The 21,716-nt window shown below is 41.4% G+C and overlaps 1 protein-coding gene and 1 pseudogene across 14 annotated transcripts in view; one reads left to right on the forward strand and one right to left on the reverse strand.

Moving 5' to 3' along the window:
- The window catches only part of LIMS1 (LIM zinc finger domain containing 1), a 153,576-nt gene extending 149,450 nt beyond the window's left edge, over positions 1–4,126 (forward strand). For all 13 annotated transcript variants that reach the window (NM_001371496.1, NM_001371495.1, NM_001394896.1 and 10 more), the window contains one exon: positions 765–4,126. In NM_001371496.1, the coding sequence (NP_001358425.1) occupies positions 765–879 (115 nt within the window). In that variant the 3' untranslated portion in view covers positions 880–4,126. The remainder of the gene's footprint in view (positions 1–764) is intronic.
- Positions 4,127–11,513: 7,387 nt separating this feature from the next.
- Positions 11,514–21,326, reverse strand: LOC107985802 (cytochrome c oxidase subunit 7B, mitochondrial-like; annotated as a pseudogene). Its single transcript, XR_007088647.1, has 2 exons — positions 21,305–21,326; positions 11,514–11,888 (listed from the first exon to the last, which is right to left on the reverse strand). The product of XR_007088647.1 is annotated as a cytochrome c oxidase subunit 7B, mitochondrial-like (transcript).
- Positions 21,327–21,716: the final 390 nt, after the last annotated feature.

Below are 21,716 nucleotides of genomic sequence, written 5' to 3' on the forward strand. Positions count from 1 at the left end.
GTTACATTTATGTTAAGAGTGATTAAAAACTTTCTTCCAACCTTTCTGTCAGATAACCAAAATAACCCCTTATAATTTAAAATTAATTAAACCTCATGGCTACCTAATTTAAAGTACTAAGTAAGATCATGTTGCCTCCAATAAAGAAATCATTCACATTATAAAAATATGATTCTTTCCTTTAGATAAATTTATCTTTAAGGTATTCTAAAATGTGATTACCATCCTAGGCAATACGACAGGACCCTGTCTCTACAAAAAAAAATTTTTAAGTTAGCCAGGCATAGTAGTATGCACTTGTGTCCCAGCTATTCAGGAGGCTGAGGTGGGAGGATGGCTTGAGTCCAGGAGTTAGAGGCTGCAGGGAGCTGTGATCACCACTGCACTCCAGCCTGAGTGACAGTCGAGGCTCTGTTTCCAAAAAAAAAAAAAAAAAAAAGTGATTGACTGTACTTAAGTTAATTATATTTACATTAGATTTCCTGTTTACTTAGTACTGAATAAAATGTAATCTACAGTCTGTGTTACACAGATGGATGTATAGAACCAATTTATAAGGACTTTTTTTTAAAATTATACTGAATTTTTATATATATATCACAATAAGAATTGAGGTTAGGATTATGGTTTTTTTACTAACATGAATATAATATCATCACCTAGTTGCCTTCGTTTAGTTCAGTACAATTACTGCACATCATTTATATATCTTTGTTGAATATGTTTCCACTAACTTCTTTTTTTTTATAATTTTTTGTCTTTAGGAATAAGTTTGTGGAGTTTGACATGAAGCCAGTCTGTAAGAAGTGCTATGAGAAATTTCCATTGGAGCTGAAGAAAAGACTTAAGAAACTAGCTGAGACCTTAGGAAGGAAATAAGTTCCTTTATTTTTTCTTTTCTATGCAAGATAAGAGATTACCAACATTACTTGTCTTGATCTACCCATATTTAAAGCTATATCTCAAAGCAGTTGAGAGAAGAGGACCTATATGAATGGTTTTATGTCATTTTTTTAATTAAAAAAGAAAAATTCATATAATCGTGTTTAAAACACAAATGAAGTCAGTATTTGCCTTTGTTAACCCTTATCCATTTGTTGACATGTAGACTGTTTACAAAAAAAAAACACATGGTTAAATGTTAAATTTTAATTAAGGCCCCCAAAAATTAAATATAACTTTTTAAAATGAAAGGAGTCACCTTTTACATGACTCAGGTGAAAAAACAGTATAAACATTAATTTACTTTGTGTTCAAAAGAAAATTCCAACTGCTGTTGGGGAAGGACACAGAAAAGAAAAATAACCACCCAAGAAAAACAAAAACAAGAAAAACAAATCTTATACAATCTTAGTATATTTATCAAACTAGTAGCTAGAAAGTGAATATGCACATTACTAAGACAAAAAACAAGTGTAATTCAGAACTACTTGATTTTTTTTAGTTAAATGCAATAATTATTATGCTTAGTTTTATAACCTGCTCTCCTTGTGAATTCTTCCTTCAAATGATTACTTAACGCAGTAGTAATAGCTAGCTGTAGGATGTCCTTTAAATTTTTGTGCAAAAAAAAATTTATACCAGGTATTTGGAAATATACTTTACAATATTGGAAAATGAAGTATTTTTAATGTATTACAGCAATTATGTTTCTAAGCTTAATGTTAAGCATGTAGTCTTAGAATAGGACATGAAATTAAATTGTATGTAGCTTGGAATATATTGCTTCAGAAAACTGAATGTGTATGTCGGTCATATTGCCTTTATAACCATGCTAATATCTATGCTTTATACATACTCAAACTTGCCTTGCCTTAAAAACATACATACTACATACTTAAATCAGGAATTCTAGCCATCTCACAGAATACCAACTAAAACTAAGTGCATTGAGATCTGAGATTGGTAAACCCAGATTCATTTACCACAGCTGTAATTAAGTTTTTAGAAACTATTCTCTTTTTGGGGAAATCCATTGAAGTTAATTTCTGTTATCTTATTAGAAGAAAATGATGTTGATATGTGTTTCAGATTTTCCATTTGAAATCTTATAATTAATTTGATTTATTTACTGTAAGTAGGAGGTATAAATGACACTCTTAAATTGGAAGGAGGGGTGTTTTAGTGTCTGTTTTAGGTCAAAATTAGTGATTCTATTTTTATCAAAAGTTTTATCCTGAAGTTTCAGGACCACTCTTCCTTAATAAACTTGTTAATGGAAAGCGAGCTTTATGAACATTTAAAAATGTTGCTGCTGCTTTGTTGCTTAAAAAGAAAGTTGCCAAGAGAGACTTCTTAGGGAAAATATTTGGGTTTTTTTTCCAAAAATTGCTGAAATATTGTTTTGCCATTTTTAAAAAGTCTCAGGTTATTACCACTCTGCCATTAAATATTTGTATGCCTGCATTTTTAAAAATTCTGTGCATGTACTTTATGGAGTACATTCTATTTTTGTTTTCAGATACCCTACAACCAATTTTTTTTAGTAATCTTTTAGAATTGAAATTATCATAAATGATCGAGAATAATCATCACATAGTTTAAGATTGTATATGTTGAGTAGTTTAAAACAATCTTTGCATTTTACAGTAAGAATCAAAGTCCCTTCAGTGTGCCTTTGTCAGCTAATATGTGACCAGCAATGACAACCTTGGGAGTATTTATTAAATATTATGCTATGAATATAGGCAACACAGAACAGGGTTTGCAGTATAGCGTCTTGATGCTAAATTCTCATATACCTCTACACGAGAAATATGGAGGAGAAAAACAAGCATTTACATATATTCTTCGTCACTTTGAAGATGCATGGCCTGAACTCGACTGCTTGTGTTTGTTTACATATCAGGCATACCCAGGCATCTCCTGCAGCCAGAGGTTCCATTGCTGTCTTTGCTCAGTCCTCTTTTAAAATATGAATTAGTGGACAGGCACGGTGCCTCACACCTGTAATCCCAGCACTTTGGGAGGTCGAGGCAGGTGGATCACGAGGTCAGGAGATCAAGACCATCCTGGCTACCACTGAAACCCCATCTCTACTACAAAAAAATTAGCCGGGCGTGGTGGCGGGCACCTGCAGTCCCAGCTACTCGGGAGGCTGAGGCAGGAGAATGGTGGGAACCCGGGAGGCAGAGCTTGCAGTGAGCCAAGATCACGCCACTGCACTCCAGCCTGGGCAACAGAGCAAGACTCTGTCTCAAAAAAAATAAATAAATAAATTATGAATGAGTATTTTCTAGAAATTCAACTTGCTAAGCCTGTAATACTTAAGGGTAGTTTATCTAGATACAGTACTTTCTTCCCTGATAAGTAGTATCATTGGAGCCCTTAGGTATAGGAGAAGAGGAAGAAGTTTAAAAAGTGTAAGTGGGCCGGGCGTGGTGGCTCATGCCTGTAATCCCAGCACTTTGGGAGGCCGAGGGGGGCGGATCACGAGGTCAGGAGATCCAGACTATCCTGGCTAACAAGGTGAAACCCCGTCTCTACTAAAAATACAAAAAAAAACATTAGCCAGGCGTGGTGGCGGGCGCTTGTAGTCCCAGCTACTCGGGAGGCTGAGGTAGGAGAATGGCTTGAACCCAGGAGGCGGAGCTTGCAGTGAGCCGAGATTGCACCACTGCACTCCAGCCTGGGCGACAGAGCAAGACTCCGTCTCAAAAAAAAAAAAAAAGTGTAAGTGGATTAAAAGAGAAACTTGGTCTAGTTCATAATATTTTTAATAGGGCTTTCCCTGGCTGCTGGAAAACTTAGGCCAGTAAGCATCTCTTTGTTTAAAGTCCTACAAGACAATTTGAAATAATTCATTGTTCATGCCAAAATTCTAAGTACTGTTTTTCTTAGCAAGTGTAACATAATCAGGAACAATGGGTACAAGTAAAACATTCTTTGGATGATATTCAAAGCCTTATTAGCACTGCACCTGAATAATAGGTCATTTTGCCTCACTCATTTGCCAAAGTAGCCATTTCTAAGTTAAGGAAGTTTTTAGATAGGCTCATAGCCTTGTATTTCGTTTTAGATTGTAAGCTCAATGGCAGGGATACTATATTGGTAATTATGTTTTCATATAGCAACCACCACAGTATATTCTTGGTGCTTAATAAATGTTTATAATTGTTAACAATAACCTGTTGTATATTGTTTATTTTGAATGGTATATATGTGAAATACATATGAAAATTGAAGTATTCATGAATATATAATAGAAACAAGTAAATGAATAAAATGACCTGGTTACTATAGATAAGCCAAATTTTGAACCATCTAGAACAATGGTGTAGTCTTCCCTCTACTCAATGTAAATGCTGGGTTTTTTAATTATTATTATTATTAAGAAGGAGATACAGTCCAGGCACAGTGGCTCACACCTGTAATCCCAGCACTTTGGGAGGCCGAGGCCAGTGGATCACTTGAGGTCAGGAGTTTGAGACCAGCCTGGCCAACACAGTGAAACCTCATCTCTATTAAAAATACAAAAATTAATAGGGCGTGGTGGTGTGCACCTGTAGTCCCAGCTACTTGGGAGGCTGAGGCAGTAGAATCACTTGAATCCAGGGGGCAGAGGTTGCAGTGCAATGGTGTGCTGGGATTACAGGCAATGAGCCACTGTGCCCTGCCCTCAGCTGGAGTGCAATGGTGCAATTAAGTTCTTTCTTTTTCAACTCAAAATTTGTCTGCATCTTTACCCAAATATCCAGATCTGATACTCTAGGCTTGGGCTAATATAGTGGGGTGGAGGAGGCTTGGGTTAAGGTTTAAAGTTCCAAGGGCTGAACCGGAATAAATGGTGTATTTATCAAGGGAAGAGCAAGGCAAAACCAGCAAGTCCAAACCATGGAGGCCTCAACCGAGGTGAGGGGAAAAGTTAGGGAGCCTTAGGAAAGCTCTGAGGAGGGACCCCAATTAGGGGGACCGTAGTTAGGGTATGAGGTTTGTGAGATCAGGACTGGAATTGCTGCAAGAGACCCTATGATTGGGTGGCAGCAGCACGTTGTGGAGATGAGCCTGCTTCCTCAGCCTCTTCCTCTTGTCAGAACCCTTTGCCTCTCCCTACACACGCACACACACATGCATGCACCATGCTACAGAAACCTTTCTCAGTCTTGCCATTCTCTCAAATTATGCTTTGGTCTTCCCTTCATCTTCAGATTCTTTAAAGAGAATCAAAGTTCCCACTTCTAGCATGATGAAGTGAGGAGGTCAACAAATCTTTCCAAAATGTAACTGTATAGCTGGACAAACCATTTAGCATTCTGTAATTTTACCAAAGGCACCGCACAAATGGGGATGTGTTTAAGAATGAAAGCTGGCCAGGCGCGGTGGCTCACGCCTGTAATCCCAGCACTTTGGGAGGCTGAAGCAGAAGGACCACTTGAGCTCAGGAGTTCAAAAACAGCCTGGGCAACTTGGTGAGACCCCCGTCTGTACAAAAAAAAAATCAAAAAAGGCATGGTGGTGCACACTTGTGGTCCCAGCTACATGGGAGGCTAAGGCGGGAGAATCATTTGAGCCCAGGAGATTGAGGCTGCAGTGAGCTGTGATCACACCACTGCACTCCAACCTGGGCAACAGAGTGAGACAGACCCTGTCCCTAAAGAAAAAAAAGAAGAATTAAAGTGAGCCTTGGATAAGACCAGCCTGTGTCTGTGGCATCTTTGCCCAGGCTGCTACCCCCATTTACCCCAGCTGTTGATAACACACACAGCGGCCCCCAGCAGGGCAGCCTGTGGAGATAAGCTCCCCTGCCACCTCGTTGCAGGGGCTGGAGGCAAGAGTGAGGAAGGTTTTGATTTGCAGCATGGCTAGTTAAGGTGGTGATATCAGTGACCAGGAGGAAGAAAGGCCACTGACTCCTAGCCTGAGGCTCTGGGCCTTTGGAGACGAGCAAATGACCTGCAGATTAGTCATGGATGTAAGAGGGAGCTCCGGGAGGTCGGAGAGCCAGAGGGAGCTTAGTAAACTCTTCACACTACCCAAATGGACTGAAGGCTCATAGCTGGCAGAGATTAGAGCAAGCCCAAGCCATGTCCATATGCCCAGGGCACACAGCCTGTGTGTGTGCCGGTGCCAGTGTTAGGAAGTAAAAGCCGGAACACCCTTGCAAATGGCCCGGGGCGTGCCTCCTCCCCATTGCACATAGATCCAGCAGCAGATGGTGGAAACCATATTGGCTTTAACTGATGTTTGACAAACTATGCAAACAAGAAGCGACCTCTAAGAAGCCATTCTGAAAAATTAAAGCAAACAAATGCCAACAATAAAACTGAACAATGACCTGAGTGAGTGCACACTGTGGAGGAGACAGGCTTCCTGCATGGAGTCCAGCCAGGAGACAGTACAGAATGCATGGAGCAGCTATTGGAAGACAGTGAAAACTAAATAGTTGCAGGCAGCTTTCCCAAGAAGACCAGAACTTGAAGTACCACCAAACCAGTGGTGAGATAACCATGTTTCCCCTACGGCATCCCGTGACTAACCTGGCAGTGGGCACCAGGGTGCAGATAGAAAGAGCTCCAGAAGATGCCCTCTATTTCTGGCTCAAGTAACGGGAAAAGGGTCTCCTAACATTCCGAGGGAATCCAGAAGTTCGTTCCTCCCCATTTTTCTTTTCCCTGTTCTCTCATACCTCAGCCCACAAGCAGTCCCACAGTGGCACTGGCACCAGCCCCAAGAGGAGCCCAGGAGCCAAGATGTAGGAGGGAACCTTCTCCAACTGACAGAGCTGTGGTCCCAAGAGGGCAGAAACAATCCATGTTGCTTCTCTTCCAATTCAGTCCTCCCACTTCTTGGCTTCAGATGTAGAAATGCATGGTAGAGCCAGATACCGAAAGCCTGTTTTCTGCTTGGAAGACTAAAAAGAGAAGCCTCAGCAAATGAAAGCAACAGGGTAATTGCTGAGAGAGAGTTAATCAGTGAAGCAACCCCATTAACCTGTCTATAAACCCCAGGGCTCATTCTTGAGCTGCTCCTGCATAGATCTCGTCCTGTTCAACACACCAAAGATTGACAGCTGAACTGAGAGACCATCACCCACAGACACAACTGGCCACTGGGTGGTGCACAAGTCAGACAGAACTGAATAGTCCTGTGAAGACTTTGGACACTGAACTGACTTTGGAACCAGACTGCAGAATGGAGGGGTGGGAACTTGTGGCTTGAACCTAATCAGGTAGATTGCCTGGCCAAAATGAAAATACCTATCATCTCCATAGGATTTAATTTCATTCAATGATTTTTTTTTTAGTAAATTTGCAATGTTTTACAGCCATCCCCAAAATCTAATTCCAAAATATCTCTATCACCCCAACAAGAGACTCCATTCAGGTTGGCAGTCACATGCACTCCCAGATTTCCCCTCTGCCCAGCCCTTGGCAATCACTAGTCTACTTTCTGTGTCTTTGAGTTTGCCTACTCTGGATATTTCATATAAATGAAATGATATATGAGGTTTTGTGATTGGCACCTTTCATTTAGAATAATGTTTTCAAGGCTGATTCATGTTGTAGTATGCATTGGTACTTCATTATTTTTTATGCAAAAGTAATATTCTATTGTATGGCTATACCACATTTTTCTTTGAGACAGAGATCTCACTATGTCGCCCAGGCTGGAGTTTAGTGGCTCTTCACAGGCCTGATCACAGCTCCTGCATGGATCAAGGAGCATCACTGCAGCTTCAAACTGCAGCTTCAAACTCTCGGGCTCAAGCGACCCTCCTGCCTCAACCTCCCCAGTAGCTGGGACTACAGGCACGTGTGTCTGTGCCAAGTAATACCACATTTTAAAAATCCATCTTCAGTAGATGGAAATTTGGATGTTTCCACCTTTTACTAATAAAAATAGTACTGCTATAAACATTATGTATAGGTTTTCTTTTGTTTTTGTTTTTTCTTTTTTTGTAGAGATGGGGGTCTCGCTGTGTTGCACAGGCTGGTCTCAAATACCTGGACTCAAGTGATCCTCCCATCGAAAACTCCCAAAGTGCTGGGATTACAGGCGTGAGCCACCATGCCTGGCCTGTATACAAGTTTTTGTGTAGACATGTTTACATCCAATTAATGAACACAGGATGTCTTTCCATTGATTTAGCTCCTCTTTAATTTCTTTCAACAGTGTTGTGTAGTTTCCAGTCTACAAGTCTTACACTTTTGGATTAAATTTATTCATAATTATTTTATTATTTTTGATAATATTATAAATGGAATTGTTTACTTAATTTTACTTGAATTGTTCATTGCTAGTGTATAAGTAGGCAACTCATTTTTTTTAATTGACCTTGTATGGTACAATCTCTTTGAACTCATTTATTATCACTGATGGTTTAGGTCTTTTTTTTTTTGAGGTTTCATTAGGGTTTTCTGTATATAAGATCATGTCATCTAGAATAGAGATAGTTTTATTTATTCTATTCCTATTTCAATACTTTTTGTTTGCATTTCTTGCCTAATTGCCCTGGCTAGAACATCCAGTACAGTGTTGAATAAAAGTGAAGAAAGAAGGCATCCTTGTAAGTCACTATTTTTTTTTTTTTTTTTTTTTTGACACGTAGTCTCGCACTTTGGCCCAGGCTGGAGTGCAATGGCACGATCTTGGCTCACGGCAACTTCCGCCTCCCAGGTTCAAGTAATTCTCCTGCCTCAGCCTCCTGAGTAGCTGGGATTACAGGCGCCCGCCACCATGCCTGGCTTACTTTTTGTATTTTTATTAGAGATGGGGTTTCACTATTTTGGTCAGGCTGGTCTCGAACTCCTGACCTCGTGATCCCCGCCCACCTTGGCCTCCCAAAGTTCTGGGATTACAAAGCACTTTGTAAGCCACTGTGCCCAGCCGTAAGTCAGTTTTTATACCCCTTCTTTCATCCCTGATTTTAGTAATTAGAGTCTTTCTTTTTTCTTGGTCAATCTCAAAAAACAAAAGCTTTATGAATTTAAAAACGTTTTTCAAGCCGGGCACGGTGGCTCACTCCTGTAATCCCAGCACTTTGAGAGGCTGAGGCAGGCTGATCACGAGGTCAGGAGATCGAGACTATCCTGGCTAACACGATGAAACACCATCTGTACTAAAAAAATACAAAAAAAAAAAAATTAGCCGGGTGTGGTGGCGGGTGCCTGTAGTCCCAGCTACTCAGGAGGCTGAGGCAGGAGAATGGCATGAAACCGGGAGGCGGAGCTTGCACTGAGCCAAGATCGCGCCACTGCACTCCAGCCTGGGCAACAGAGCGAGACTCTGTCTCAAAAAAAAAATTTTTTTTTCAAAACAGCAACTTTTGCCTTTGTTGATTTTCTCTACTCTTTAAAAATGAGTTTTAAAAAATTTAATAGTGATTAAAAAAAAGATTTACCAACTTAACTTTTTTTTTTTTTTTGAGCCAGAGTTTCGCTCTTGTTGCTCAGGCTAGAGTGTACTGGTACGATCTCGACTCACTGCAACCTTCACCTCCAGAGTTCAAATGATTCTCCTGCCACAGCCTCCTGAGTAGCTGGGATTACAGGCATGCACCACCACGCCCCGCTAATTTTGTATTTTTAGTAGAGACGGAGTTTCTCCATGTTGGTCAGGCTGGTCTCCAACTCCCCACCACAGGTGAATGCCCGCCTCGGCCTCCCAAAGTGCTAGGATTACAGGCGTGAGCCACCGCACCCAGCCCAACTTAACCTTTTTTTTTTTTTTTTTTTTTGAGATGGAGTCTGTCACCCAGGCTGGAGTGCGGTGGCGTGATCTCGGCTCACTGCAAGCTTGCCTTCCGGGTTCACGCCATTCTCATGCCTCAGCCTCCCGAGTAGCTGGGACTACAGGTGCCCGCCACCACGCCCAGCTAATTTTTTTTTTGTATTTTTTTAGTAGAGACGGGGTTTCACGTTGTTAGCCAGGATGGTCTTGATCTCCTGACCTCATGATCGGCCCACCTCGACCTCCCAAAGTGCTGGGATTACAGGCGTGAGCCACCGCACCCGGCCCAACTTAACCACTTTCAAGTGTGCAATGCAGTAGCCTTATGTTGCTGTGCAATGTATCTCCAGAAAGTTTTCATCTTTTATTTCTATTTATTTATTTATTATTTTGAGACATGATCTTGCTGTCACCTGGGATGGAATGCAGTGGTGCGATTATGGGTCTCTGCAACTTCGAACTCTTGCGCTCAATCAATCCTCCTGCCTCAGCCTCCCAAGTAGCTGGGGACTACAGGTGCGTACCACTGAGCTGGGTTAATTTTTTTTTTCTTTTGTAAAGAGAGAGTCTTGCTTTGTTACCTAAGCTGCTCTTAAACTCCTGATTTCAAGCAATCCTCCCACCTCGGCCTCCCAAAGTGTTGGGATTACAGGCACAAGCCACCACTTGGCCCAACTTTATCTTTTAAAACTTGAACATCTATACCCATGAAACAACAATTCTCCATTTCCTCCTCCCCCTAGTTTCTGATGGCCACCATTTGATTTGCTGTTTCTGTGAATTTGACTACTTTAGATACCTCATATAAGTGGAAGCATACAGTATTTGTATTTTTGCGACTGGCTTATTCCACTTAGCATGATGTCCTCAAGGTTCTTCCATGTTATAGCATGTAACAGAATTTCTTTCCTTTTTAAGGCTGAGTAATACTCCATTATTTGTATACACCACATTTTGTTTTTCCACTCATCTGTTGATGGACATTTAGGCTGCTTCTGCGTGTTGGCTATTGTGAATAATACTGCTATAAATACAGATGTGCAAATACCTCTTACAGGCCCTGTTCTCCGCCGGGCGCGGTGGCTCACGCCTGTAATCCCAGCACTTTGGGAGGCCGAGGCAGGCGGATCACGGGGTCAGGAGATTGAGACCATCCTGGCTAACACGGTGAAACCCCGTCTCTACTAAAAATACAAAAAAATTAGCCGGGCAGGGTGGCGGGCGCCTGTAGTCCCAGCTACTCCGGAGGCTGAGGCAGGAGAATGGCGTGAACCCGGGAGGCAGAGGTTGCAGTGAGCCGAGATCGCGCCACTGCAGTCCGGCCTGGGCGAAAGAGTGAGACTCCGTCTCAAAAAAAAAAAAAAAAAAAAAAAAAAAAAAGACCCTGTTCTCAATTCTTTTGGATATATGTCCAGAAGTGCATATGGCAATTCTATTTTTACTTTTCTGAGACCCCATCAAATTGTTTTTGGTAGTAGCTACACCATTTTGCATTGCACAAAGGCTCCAATTTCTGTGCATCCTCTTTAACACTTGTGATTTTCTGCTTTTTTGATAGTAGACATCCTAATGGGTGTAAGATAATATTTCCTTGTGATTTTGATTTGCATTTCTCTAATGATGATTAGGAATGTTGAGCATTTTTTGTTTTGTTTTTGTTTTTGTTTTGAGACACAGTCTCACTCTGTCACTCAGGCTGGAGTACAGTGTTGGGATCTTGGCTCGCTGAAACCTCTGCCTCCTAAGTTCAAGCTATTCTGTGCCTCTGCCTCCCAAGTAGCTGGGATTACAGGTGCCTGCCACTATGCCCGGCTAATTTTTGTATTTTTTTTTGAGGGTTTCAAAATGTACTTTATTTCTTCAATAATGCCATATCTTAATGGGTACACAGTGTTTTAACTTGGCATCAATTATGAGCTGTTTCTTAAACAATTCATTATTACACCAGCTGGGATGATTACTGATCTCTCCATTCCTTTGGGGTGACTCTGCCACCAGGGCACAGGTTCCATTCTATTCTGATTTGTGTTGCTACATATGTCCATATAGCAATACAGAAAGTGGCTCCACTAGCTAATACAGCATTATCGTATTGTCATGAAAATCAGGTGTACTTTTCTGGTGGCTCTGCCTTGCCATTGTTTGCTGAATGCTTTGATCTTGGAGATGACTTACTGCATTTTTTGAGCAAGCGAAACATCGTGAAGGTGAAGATCGAACTGTGGGAATGCAGCTGCTGCTTTGGTGCAAATTCCAATTTTTGTATTTTTAATAAAGATGGGGTTTTGCCACGTTGGCCAGGCTGGTCTCGAGCTACTGACCTCAAGTGATCCACCGTGCCTTGGCCTCCCAAAATGCTGGAATTACAGGCATGAGCCACCGCACCCAGCCTAAGCATCTTTTCTCACGCTTTTTTTTTTTTTTTTTTTTTTTTTTGAGATGGGGTCTCGCTCTGTGGCCCAGGCTGGAGTGCAGTGGCGCAATCTCGGCTCACTGCAAGCTCCGCCTCCCTGGTTCACGCCATTCTCCTGCCTCAGCCTCCCGAGTAGCTGGGACTACAGGCGCCCGCCACCACGCCTGGCTAATTTTTTTGTATTTTTAGTAGAGACGGGGTTTCACCGTGTTAGCCAGGATGGTCTCCATCTCCTGATCTCGTGATCCGCCCGCCTCGGCCTCCCAAAGTGCTGGGATTACAGGCGTGAGCCACCGCGCCCGGCCTTCTCACGCTTTTTATACATTTCTGTATCAACTTTAGAAAAATGTCTAGTCCAGCCTTTTGCTCACTTATGTTTGTTGTTGTTAAGGTCTCTATTGTTTTTCTAGTTTCTATTTCACTAATTTCAGCTTTGACCTTTTTGTCCTTCCTTCTGCTTGCCTTAAGCATGGTTTGCTCTTTTTTTTTCCCAGGCTATTGATTTGAGGTCTTTTTTTTAAGTCCACTGATATTCAAGGTAATTATTGATAGGTAAGGATTACCACTGTCATTTAAAAAATTGTTTTCCTGGCTGGGCGCAGTGGCTCACGCCTGTAATCCCAGCACTTTGGGAGGCCGAGGTGAGCGAATCACCTGAGGTCGGGAGTTCCAGACCAGCCTGACCAACATGAAGAAACCCTGTCTCTACTAAAAATACAAAATTAGCCAGGCGTGGTGGCACATGCCTATAACCCCAGCTATTCAGGAGGCTGAGGTAGGAGAATCGCTTGAACCCGGTGCGGGGAGGTTGTCGTGAGCCAAGATCATGCCATTGCACTCCAGCCTGGGCAACAAGAGTGAAACTCCATCTCAAAAAAAAAAAAAAAAAGTTTTCCAGATGGGCACAGTGGCTCATGCCTGTAATTCCAGCATTTTGGGAGGCCGAGGTGGGCAGATCACTTCAGGCCAGGAGTTCGAGACCAGCCTGGCCAACATGGTGAAATCCTGTCTCTACTAAAAATACAAAATTAGTCCCATGAGGTGGTGCACACCTGTGGTCCCAGCTACCCGGGAGGCTGAGGCACAAGGATTGCTTGAACCTGGGAGGCAGAGGTTGCAGTGAGCCAAGAGTGTGCCACTGCACTCTCCCAGCCTGGGTGACAGAGTGAGACGGTGTCTCAAAAAAAATTGTTTTCTAGTTGTTTTATAGATCCTTTGTTCCTTTCTTCCCCTCTTACTGTCTTCCTTTATGATTCAATGACTTTCTGTAGTGGTATGCTTTGATTACTTGCTTTTTAGAGGTCATTCTTTTTTAAATATAGTCTTTACAGGTATACATTTCCTTCTTAATGTTGCTTTAGCTGTATCCCATAAGTTTTCGTATGTTGTATCTTCATTTATCCATCTCAAATTTCTCTAATTTTCTAATTTCACGTCGTGATTTCTTCTCATTTCCTGTGTACTTTCTAATTTCCCCTGTGATTTCTTTTTTCTTTTCTTTTTTTTTTTCTTTGAGTCGGAGTCTCGCTCTGTCAGCCAGGCTGGAGCACAGTGGCACGATCTCGGCTCACTGCAAGCTCCGCCTCCTGGGTTCACGCCATTCTCCTGCCTCAGCCTCCTGAGTAGCTGGGACTACAGGTGTCTGCCACCACGCCTGGCTAATTTTTTTTTTTTTTTTTTTTTTTTGTATTTTTAGTAGAGACGGGGTTTCACCGTTTTAGCCAGGATGGTCTCGATCTCCTGACCTTGTGATCCGCCCGCCTCAGCCTCTCTAAGTGTTGGGATTACAGGCATGAGCCACCGCACCCAGTTTCCCTTGTGATTTCTTTTTTGACTCATTGGTTATTTAGAAGTGCGTTGTTTAATGTCCAAATGTTTGTAAATTTCTCAAATTTCTGTTGTTGATTTCTAATTTCATTCCATTCTGGTCAGAACACATATGCTTTATGATTTCAATTCTTTTAAATTTATTGAGGGTTTAGGAGTACAAAAGGCTTATTGAAAAAAGAATCATTGAAGTTTTTCTTATGCTCTAGCATATGGGTTATGCTAAAGAGTGTTCCAAGTGCACTTAAGAAGAATGTGTATTTTGATATTGTTAGGTGGAATTTTCTATAGATGTCTATTTGGTCTAGCTTGTTTAAACCATTGTTGAAGTCTTGTATTTTCTTGATGATCCCTGTCTAGTGGATCTATCCATTATTGTTTTTAAAAATACATTTGATGGTTGAAAGCAAAAATTAGGCCAGGCGTGGTGGCTCACACCTATAATCCCAGCACTTTCGGAGGCCAAGGCGGGCAGATCACTTGAGGTCGGGAGTTTGAGACCAGCCTGACCAACATGGAGAAACCCCGTCTCTACTAAAAATACAAAAATTAACCAGGAGTAGTGGCGCATGCCTGTAATCCCAGCTACTTGGGAGGCTGAGGCAGGAGAAGCACTTCAACCTGGGACAGGAGGTTGCAGTGACCCGAGATTGCGCCATTGCACTCCAGCCTAGGCAACAATAGCAAAACTCTGTCTCAAAAAAAAAAAGAAAGAAAGAAAGAAAAGAAAGCAAAAGCAAAAATTTTAACATTAGTGGAGTTTACAATGCATGTAAATGTAATAGAAAACATCTATAATATAAAGAGGGAAAGGTAAAAATACCTATCCAGCTGTAAGATTTCTACCTTCCACTTAAGTGGTAATATGTTCATTCTGTGAAAAATTAAGTGCATTGTAATCCCTAGAGTCACCATTTAAAAAACTATTCAAAGAGATATATTCAAAACCAATATATGAATTAAAACAGAACGCTAAAAATCATTTAAATAACCAAAAAGGAGGCGAAAAGTGGTAAGCAGAAGGATAAAAAATGGAGCAAAAAAAAAAGTAATAAGATGCGGCTGGGCCCAGTGGCTCACACCTGTAATCCCAAAACTTTGGGAAGCTGAGGTGGGTGAATCACTTGAGGCCAGGAATTTGAGATCAGCCTGGCCAACATGGTGAAACCCTGTCTTTACTAAAAATAGAAAAGTCAGCTGGGCGTGGTGGTACACGCCTGTAATCCCGACTACTTGGGAGGCTGAGGTACAAGAATCACTTGAGGCTGGGAGGCGGAGGTTGCTGTGAGCTGAGATGGCGCCACTGCACTCCAGCCTGGGTGACAGGGCAAGACTCTGTCTCAAAAAATAAAATAAAATAAGATGGTAGACATATATCCAAACACATAAATAATTACAGTAAACATAAATGGACTAAACCTAAATCTTAAAAGACATTGTCAGAATGGATAAAAGCAGTGCCCAGCCATATGCTATTTACAAGAAACTTGCTTTATTTTTTTAAATTTTTTTCATTTTTAAAAAAATGTTTTGCATTTATTTATTTATGTATTAGAGACAAGGTTTTGCTCTGTTGCCCAGACTGGAGTGCAATGGAATGATCATAGCTCACTGCAGCTTCCAACTCCTGGACTCAAGCAATCCTCCTGCCTCAGCTTCCCCTGTAGCTAAGACTACAGGCATGTACCATCATATCTGACTAGTTTTTTGTTTTGTTTTGTTTTTTTATAGAGACAGGGGCTCACCAAGTTGCCCAGGCTAGTCTCAAACTCCTGGCCTCAAGCATTCCTCCCACCTCAGCCTTCCAAAGCACTGGAATTACAAGCAATAGCCACCATACCCAGCCAAAACTTTCTTTAAATATTATATATGTAGGTTAAAAATAAAGAATAGAGGCCGGGCAGAGTGGCTCATGCCTGTAATCCCAGCACTTTGGGAGGCCGAGGCGGGTGGATCGCTTGAGGTCAGGAGTTCTACACCAGCCTGGCTAACATGGCGAAACCCCATCTCTACCAAAAACACAAAAATTACTCAGGTGTAGTGGTGTTGCCTGTAGTCCCAATTACTCAGAAGGCAGAGGCAGGAGAATCACTTGAATCTGAGAGGTGGAGGTTGCAGTGAGCTGAGATCACGCCACTGTACTCCAGCCCAGGTGACAGAACAAGACTCCATCTCCAAAAAAAAAAAAGAAAGGAAAAGATATACCATGGAAATATTAATCAAAAGAGTTGGTGTGGCTATGTTGATATCATACACAGCAAATTCCAGAGCAATGAAAACCATTAGGGACAAAAAAGGATCATACATCATGATAAAATAGTTAATTCACCAAGGAGACATAACAATCCTAAATATGTTTGCGTCTTAACACCACAGCTTCAAAATTCTCAAAGCAAATAGACAAACCCAAAATTATATCTGGAGACTTCAATACTCCTGTCTCAATCATTGATAGAACTATTAGAAAATCAGCAAAGAAGGCCGGGCACAGTGGCTCACGCCTGTAATCCCAACGTTTTGGTAGGCCAAGGTGGGCAGATCACACGGTCAGGAGATCGAGCCCATCCTGGCTAACACAGTGAAACTCCATCTCTACTAAAAATACAAAAAATTAGCCGGGCACGGTGGCGGGCGCCTGTAGTCCCAGCTACTTGGGAGGCTGATGCAGGACAATGGCGTGAACCTGGGAGCTTGCAGTGAGTTGAGATCGTGCCACTGCACTCCAGCCTGGGCGACAGAGCAAGACTCAGCCTCAAAACAAACAAACAAACAAACAAACAAAAAAACAAAAAACAGAAAAAGAAAATCAGCAAAGAAGAGGAGAATTAAACAGCACCACTAGCCAACTAGATCTAATTGAACTTTGAGAAGACTCTACCCATAAACAGCAGACTATGCATTATTTCCAAGTGCACATAGAACCATTCACCAAGATAGACTATATCCTGGGTCATAAAACAAACCTTAACAAACTTAAATGAAGTGAAATCATGCCAGGTATGTTCTCTGACCATAACAAAAGTAGACCAGGAATCAATAAGACAAACAATAGGAGAATCCCTGAACACTTATAAATTAAACAATAGACTTCTAAATTAATCTATGTATCAAAGAGAATGTCTGAAGGGAAATTAGAAAATATCAATATTCCTCATGAAATTAGATGCGAAAACCCTAAAAAAAATTGCAAATTGAATCAAGTAGTTTATAAAATGTTAATACATATTCAGTCATTAAAAGCCACAAGGTCGGGCACAGTAGCTTATGCCTATAATCCCAGCATTTTGGGAGGCTGAGGCAGGCAGATCACTTGAGGCCAGGAGTTAGAGACCAGCCTGGCCAATATGGCGAAACCCCATTTCTACTGAAAATACAAAAATTATCTGGGTGTGGTAGCACACACCTGTAGTCCCAGATACTAAGGAGGCTGAGGCTTGAGAATCACTTGAAACCAGCAGGCGAAGGTTGCCGTGAGCCAAGATCATGCCACTGCACTCCAGCCTGGGCGCCAGAGCAGGACCCTGTTTCAAAAAACAAAACAAAGCAACAAAAAAAATGCTAGTAGGCAAATTCATAAAGACAAAAAGTAGAGTTAGGGTTACCAGGGGCTTGTGGAGTGGGGAGTGGCGAGTAATTGTTTATTAGGCACAGAGTTTCTATTTGAGATGATCAAAAAGTTTTGGAAATGGATATTGATGATGGTTACACAACATGGTGAACAAACTTAATGTTACCGAATTGTACACTTAAAAACAGTTAAAATGGTAAGTTTTATGCTATGTGTATTTTACCACAATAAACAAACAAATGCATCACAACCAAATAGGGTTTATCCTGGGACTTTCAAGGATGGTATAACATATATATATATATATTTTTTTTTTTTTTTTGAGACAAAGTCTCATTCTTGCCCCCAGGCTGGAACGCAGTGGCGCGATCTCGGCTCACTGCAACCTCCGCCTCCCAGGTTCAAGCGATTCTCCTGCCTCAGCTTCCTGAGTAGCTGGGATTACAGGTGCCTGCCACCATGCCCAGCTAATTTTTGTATTTTTAGTAGAGACAGGGTTTCACCATGTTGGCCAGGCTGGTCTTGAACTCCTGACCTCAGGTGATCCACCCGCCTCAGCGTCCCAAAGTGCTGGGATTACAGCCATGAGCCACCGCTCCCGGCTGGATGGTATAACATTTTAAAATAAATCAATGTAGTCATATTAACAGTGTAAAGAAGAAAAATTACATGATCATATCAATTGATGTAGAAAAAGCATCTGACATAATTCAATGTCCATTCATGATAAAATCTGTCAGCAAACTAGGAATAGGAAATTTCCTCCATCTGATAAAGGCATCTATAAATATCTGTGGCTGGCCGGGCACAGCTGATAAAGGCATCTATAAATATCTGTGGCGAGCCAGGCTCTAGCCTGTAATCCCAGCTGTTTGGGAAGTCAAGACAGGAGGATCGCTTGAGCCAGGGAGTTTGAGACCAACCTGGACAACATAATGATACCTCATCTCTACTAAAAATTAAAAAATAAAAAACAAAATAGCCAGGCATGGTGGTTAATGACCTACTTAACAGTGAAACTCTTTCCCCTTAAGATCAAAAAGACTTTTATCATTAAGTAGGAGAGAATATCCTCTCACACCAGTCTTATTCAGTATTGTACTAGAAGTTTGAGATGTTGAAATAAGGCAAAAAATAAATAAATAAATAAACGTCATACAGATTGGAAAGAAAGATCTAAAACTGTCCCTCTTCGCAGATAACATTACTGTCTGTGTGTAAAATCTCAAAGAATTTACAATTAATCCCCTAGAACAGGTAAGTTTAGCAATGTCACAGGATACAAGGTTGTATTTCTCTATACCAGCAATGTACAATTTAAAGCTGAAATCTAAAAAAAAAATAGCATCTACATTAGCTTTATAAAAACAGAAGTTATAACTTAACAAAACATGTACAGGATGTATACGCTCAAAACCACAAAATACTGATGCAACTGAAGAAGATCTAAATAAATGGAGAGACATACCATTCCCGTGAACTGGAAGACACAGTAAAGATGACAATTCTCCCCATATTGATCTATAGATCAAACACATTTCCAACCAAGTTCTTAGCAGATTTTTTCATAGATATAGATAATTAAATTAGAGAATGTAGGTGGAAAATCAAAGGAACTAGAATGTGATAACAATTTTGACAAAGAAGTATAAACTTGAAGGAATCACACTACCATCTTTAAACCTTATTATAAAGCTATAGTAGGCCAGGCGCAGTGGCTCACACCTGTAATCCCAGAACTTTGGGAGGCCAAGGTGGGTGGATCATTTGAGGTCAGAAGTTTGAGACCAGCCTGGCCAACATGGTGAAACCCTGTCTCTACCAAAAAATACAAAAATTAGATGGGCATGGTGGTGCCCACCTGTAGTCCCAGCTACTCAGTGGGAGAATTGCTTGAACCTGGGAGGCAGAGGCTGCAGTGAGCCTAGATTGCACCACTGCACTTTAGCCTGGGCAACAGAATAAGACCCTGTCTCCAAAAAAAAAGCTATTGTAATCAAGAAAGCGAGGTATGTGAAAAGAGATAGATACATAAATCAATGAAAAAAAATAGATAGTCCAGATATAAATCCACACTAATATGGGCATTTGATATTTACAAAGGTGCTACAGCAATCTTTGTAAATTGATTTTACAAATCAATTTACAAACATATGAGAAAATATGTAAACATATGAGTGTAAAACATATGAGAAAATCTTACTGACCTGGGGTCAGGCAAAGAGTTCTTAGACATGACACCAAAAGGATGAGTTATAATAGAAAATAATGGCTAAGTTGAGCTTTATTAAAATTAAAGGCTGGGTGCGGTGGCTCATGCCTATAGTACTAGCACTTTGGGAGGCCAAGGAGGGCGGATCATGAGGTCAGGAGATCGAGATCATCCTAGCTAATACGGTGAAACCCCGTCTCTACTAAAAATACAAAAAAATTAGTCAGGCATGGTGGCACGCGCCTGTAGTCCCAGCTACTCGGGAGGCTGAAGCAAGAGAATCGCTTGAACCCGGGAGGTGGAGGTTGCAGTGAGTCGCGATTGCGCCACTGCACTCCAGGCTGGTGACAGAGCAAGACCCTGTCTCAAAAAAAAAAAAAAAAAAAAAAAAACACAAAAAAACAAACAGGCAGCCAGCCCACAGGCTATAGTTTGTTGACCCTTGTCCTAGAAAAATTAAAACTATGTCCATTGAAAAACCTCTATACAAATGTTTACAGAAGCTCTATTCATAATCACCAAAAACTGGTAACAACCCAAATGTCCTACAAATGGTAAATGTATGAGTGGTATATCCATACTGTGGAATATTATTCAGCAACGAAAACAAAAACTATTTCTACAAGCAGCAACTTTGGATGAATTTCCAGGGCATTATGCTGAGTGAAAGAAGCCTGTATCAAAAGGTTACATAACATATAATTCCATTTATATGGTATATAGTGTGTAATCAGTGGTAAGGGGGTGAGTGGAAGATATAACTATAAAGTAATAACATGAATGAGTTTTTAGAATGTTGGAATTGCTATGTATCCTTACCGTGGTAGTGGTTACATGAATCTGGACATAGGTGTCTTAAAATTTGTAGAACTGGCTGGGCAGGTGGTTCACACATGTAATCCCAGAATTTTGGGAGGCCGAAGTGGGTGGATCACCTGAGGTCAGGAGTTTGAGACCAGCCTGGCCAACATGGCGAAACTCTGTCTCTATTAAAAATACAAAAGTTAGCTGGGCATGGTGGTGCATGCCTGCTGACCCAGTTACTCAGGAGGCTGAGGCAGGAGAATCGCTTGAACCCAGGAGGTGGAGGTTGCAGTGAGCTGAGATTGAACCACTGCACTCCAGCCTGGGCGACACAGCGAGACTCCATCTCAAAAAAAAAAAAAAAAAAATTGTAGAACTATACACTCCCTGGCTGGGTGTGGTGGCTCACACCTGTAATCCCAGGACTTTGGGAAGCCAAGGCAGGTGGATCACAAGGTCAAGAGATCGAGACCATCCTGGCCAACATGGTGAAACCCGGTCTTTACTAAAAATACAAAAATTAGCTGGGCGTGGTGGTGCGTGCCTGTAATCTCAGCTACTCAGGAGGCTGAGGCAGGAGAATCGCTTGAACCCGGGAGGTGGAGGTTGCAGTGAGCTGGGATTATGCCACTGCACTCCAGCCTGGCAACAGAGTGAGACTCCGTCTCAAAAAAAAAGAAGAAAAAAAAATAAAAAGAACTATACACCCCCCAAATGGGCAACTTTTCTATATGATTATATACTGAAAATAACTGTATCAATTATATATTTTTTAAAAAGTAATCACCACTTTGTGCACCTGTTTCCTTACCACCTAGTTCCTCCTTTTCCATGGGCAGGTGGGCTTTGGTCTGTACCACTTTTTTCAAAAGTGAGCTTTTAGAGGAGAAGGCAGAGCAGATGTCTAAATAGAACCCTCCAGCAAGCATCATCCCAACCCTCTGCCCTGCAGGAACACCAAATGGAACAACTATCTACATAAAAAGGCACCTTTATAAGACACAAAGATCAGATGAGTGATCACAGTACCTGGTTTTTAACATTATATCAAGGAAAGAGGCACTGAAGAGGGAAGGAAAGACAGTCTTGAATTGTTGATGCCACCTGTCCCCCATATCCCCAGTAGTAGCAGCAGCCTCATGACAAGAGAGAATCTGTGTGATTTGGGGAGGGAGAGTGCAGTGATTGTGAGACTTTGCCTTGGAACTCAGTGCCTCTCTGTA

This window comes from Homo sapiens, chromosome 2, assembly GCF_000001405.40.
Source record: "Homo sapiens chromosome 2, GRCh38.p14 Primary Assembly".
NCBI classification, from domain to species: Eukaryota; Metazoa; Chordata; class Mammalia; order Primates; family Hominidae; genus Homo; species Homo sapiens.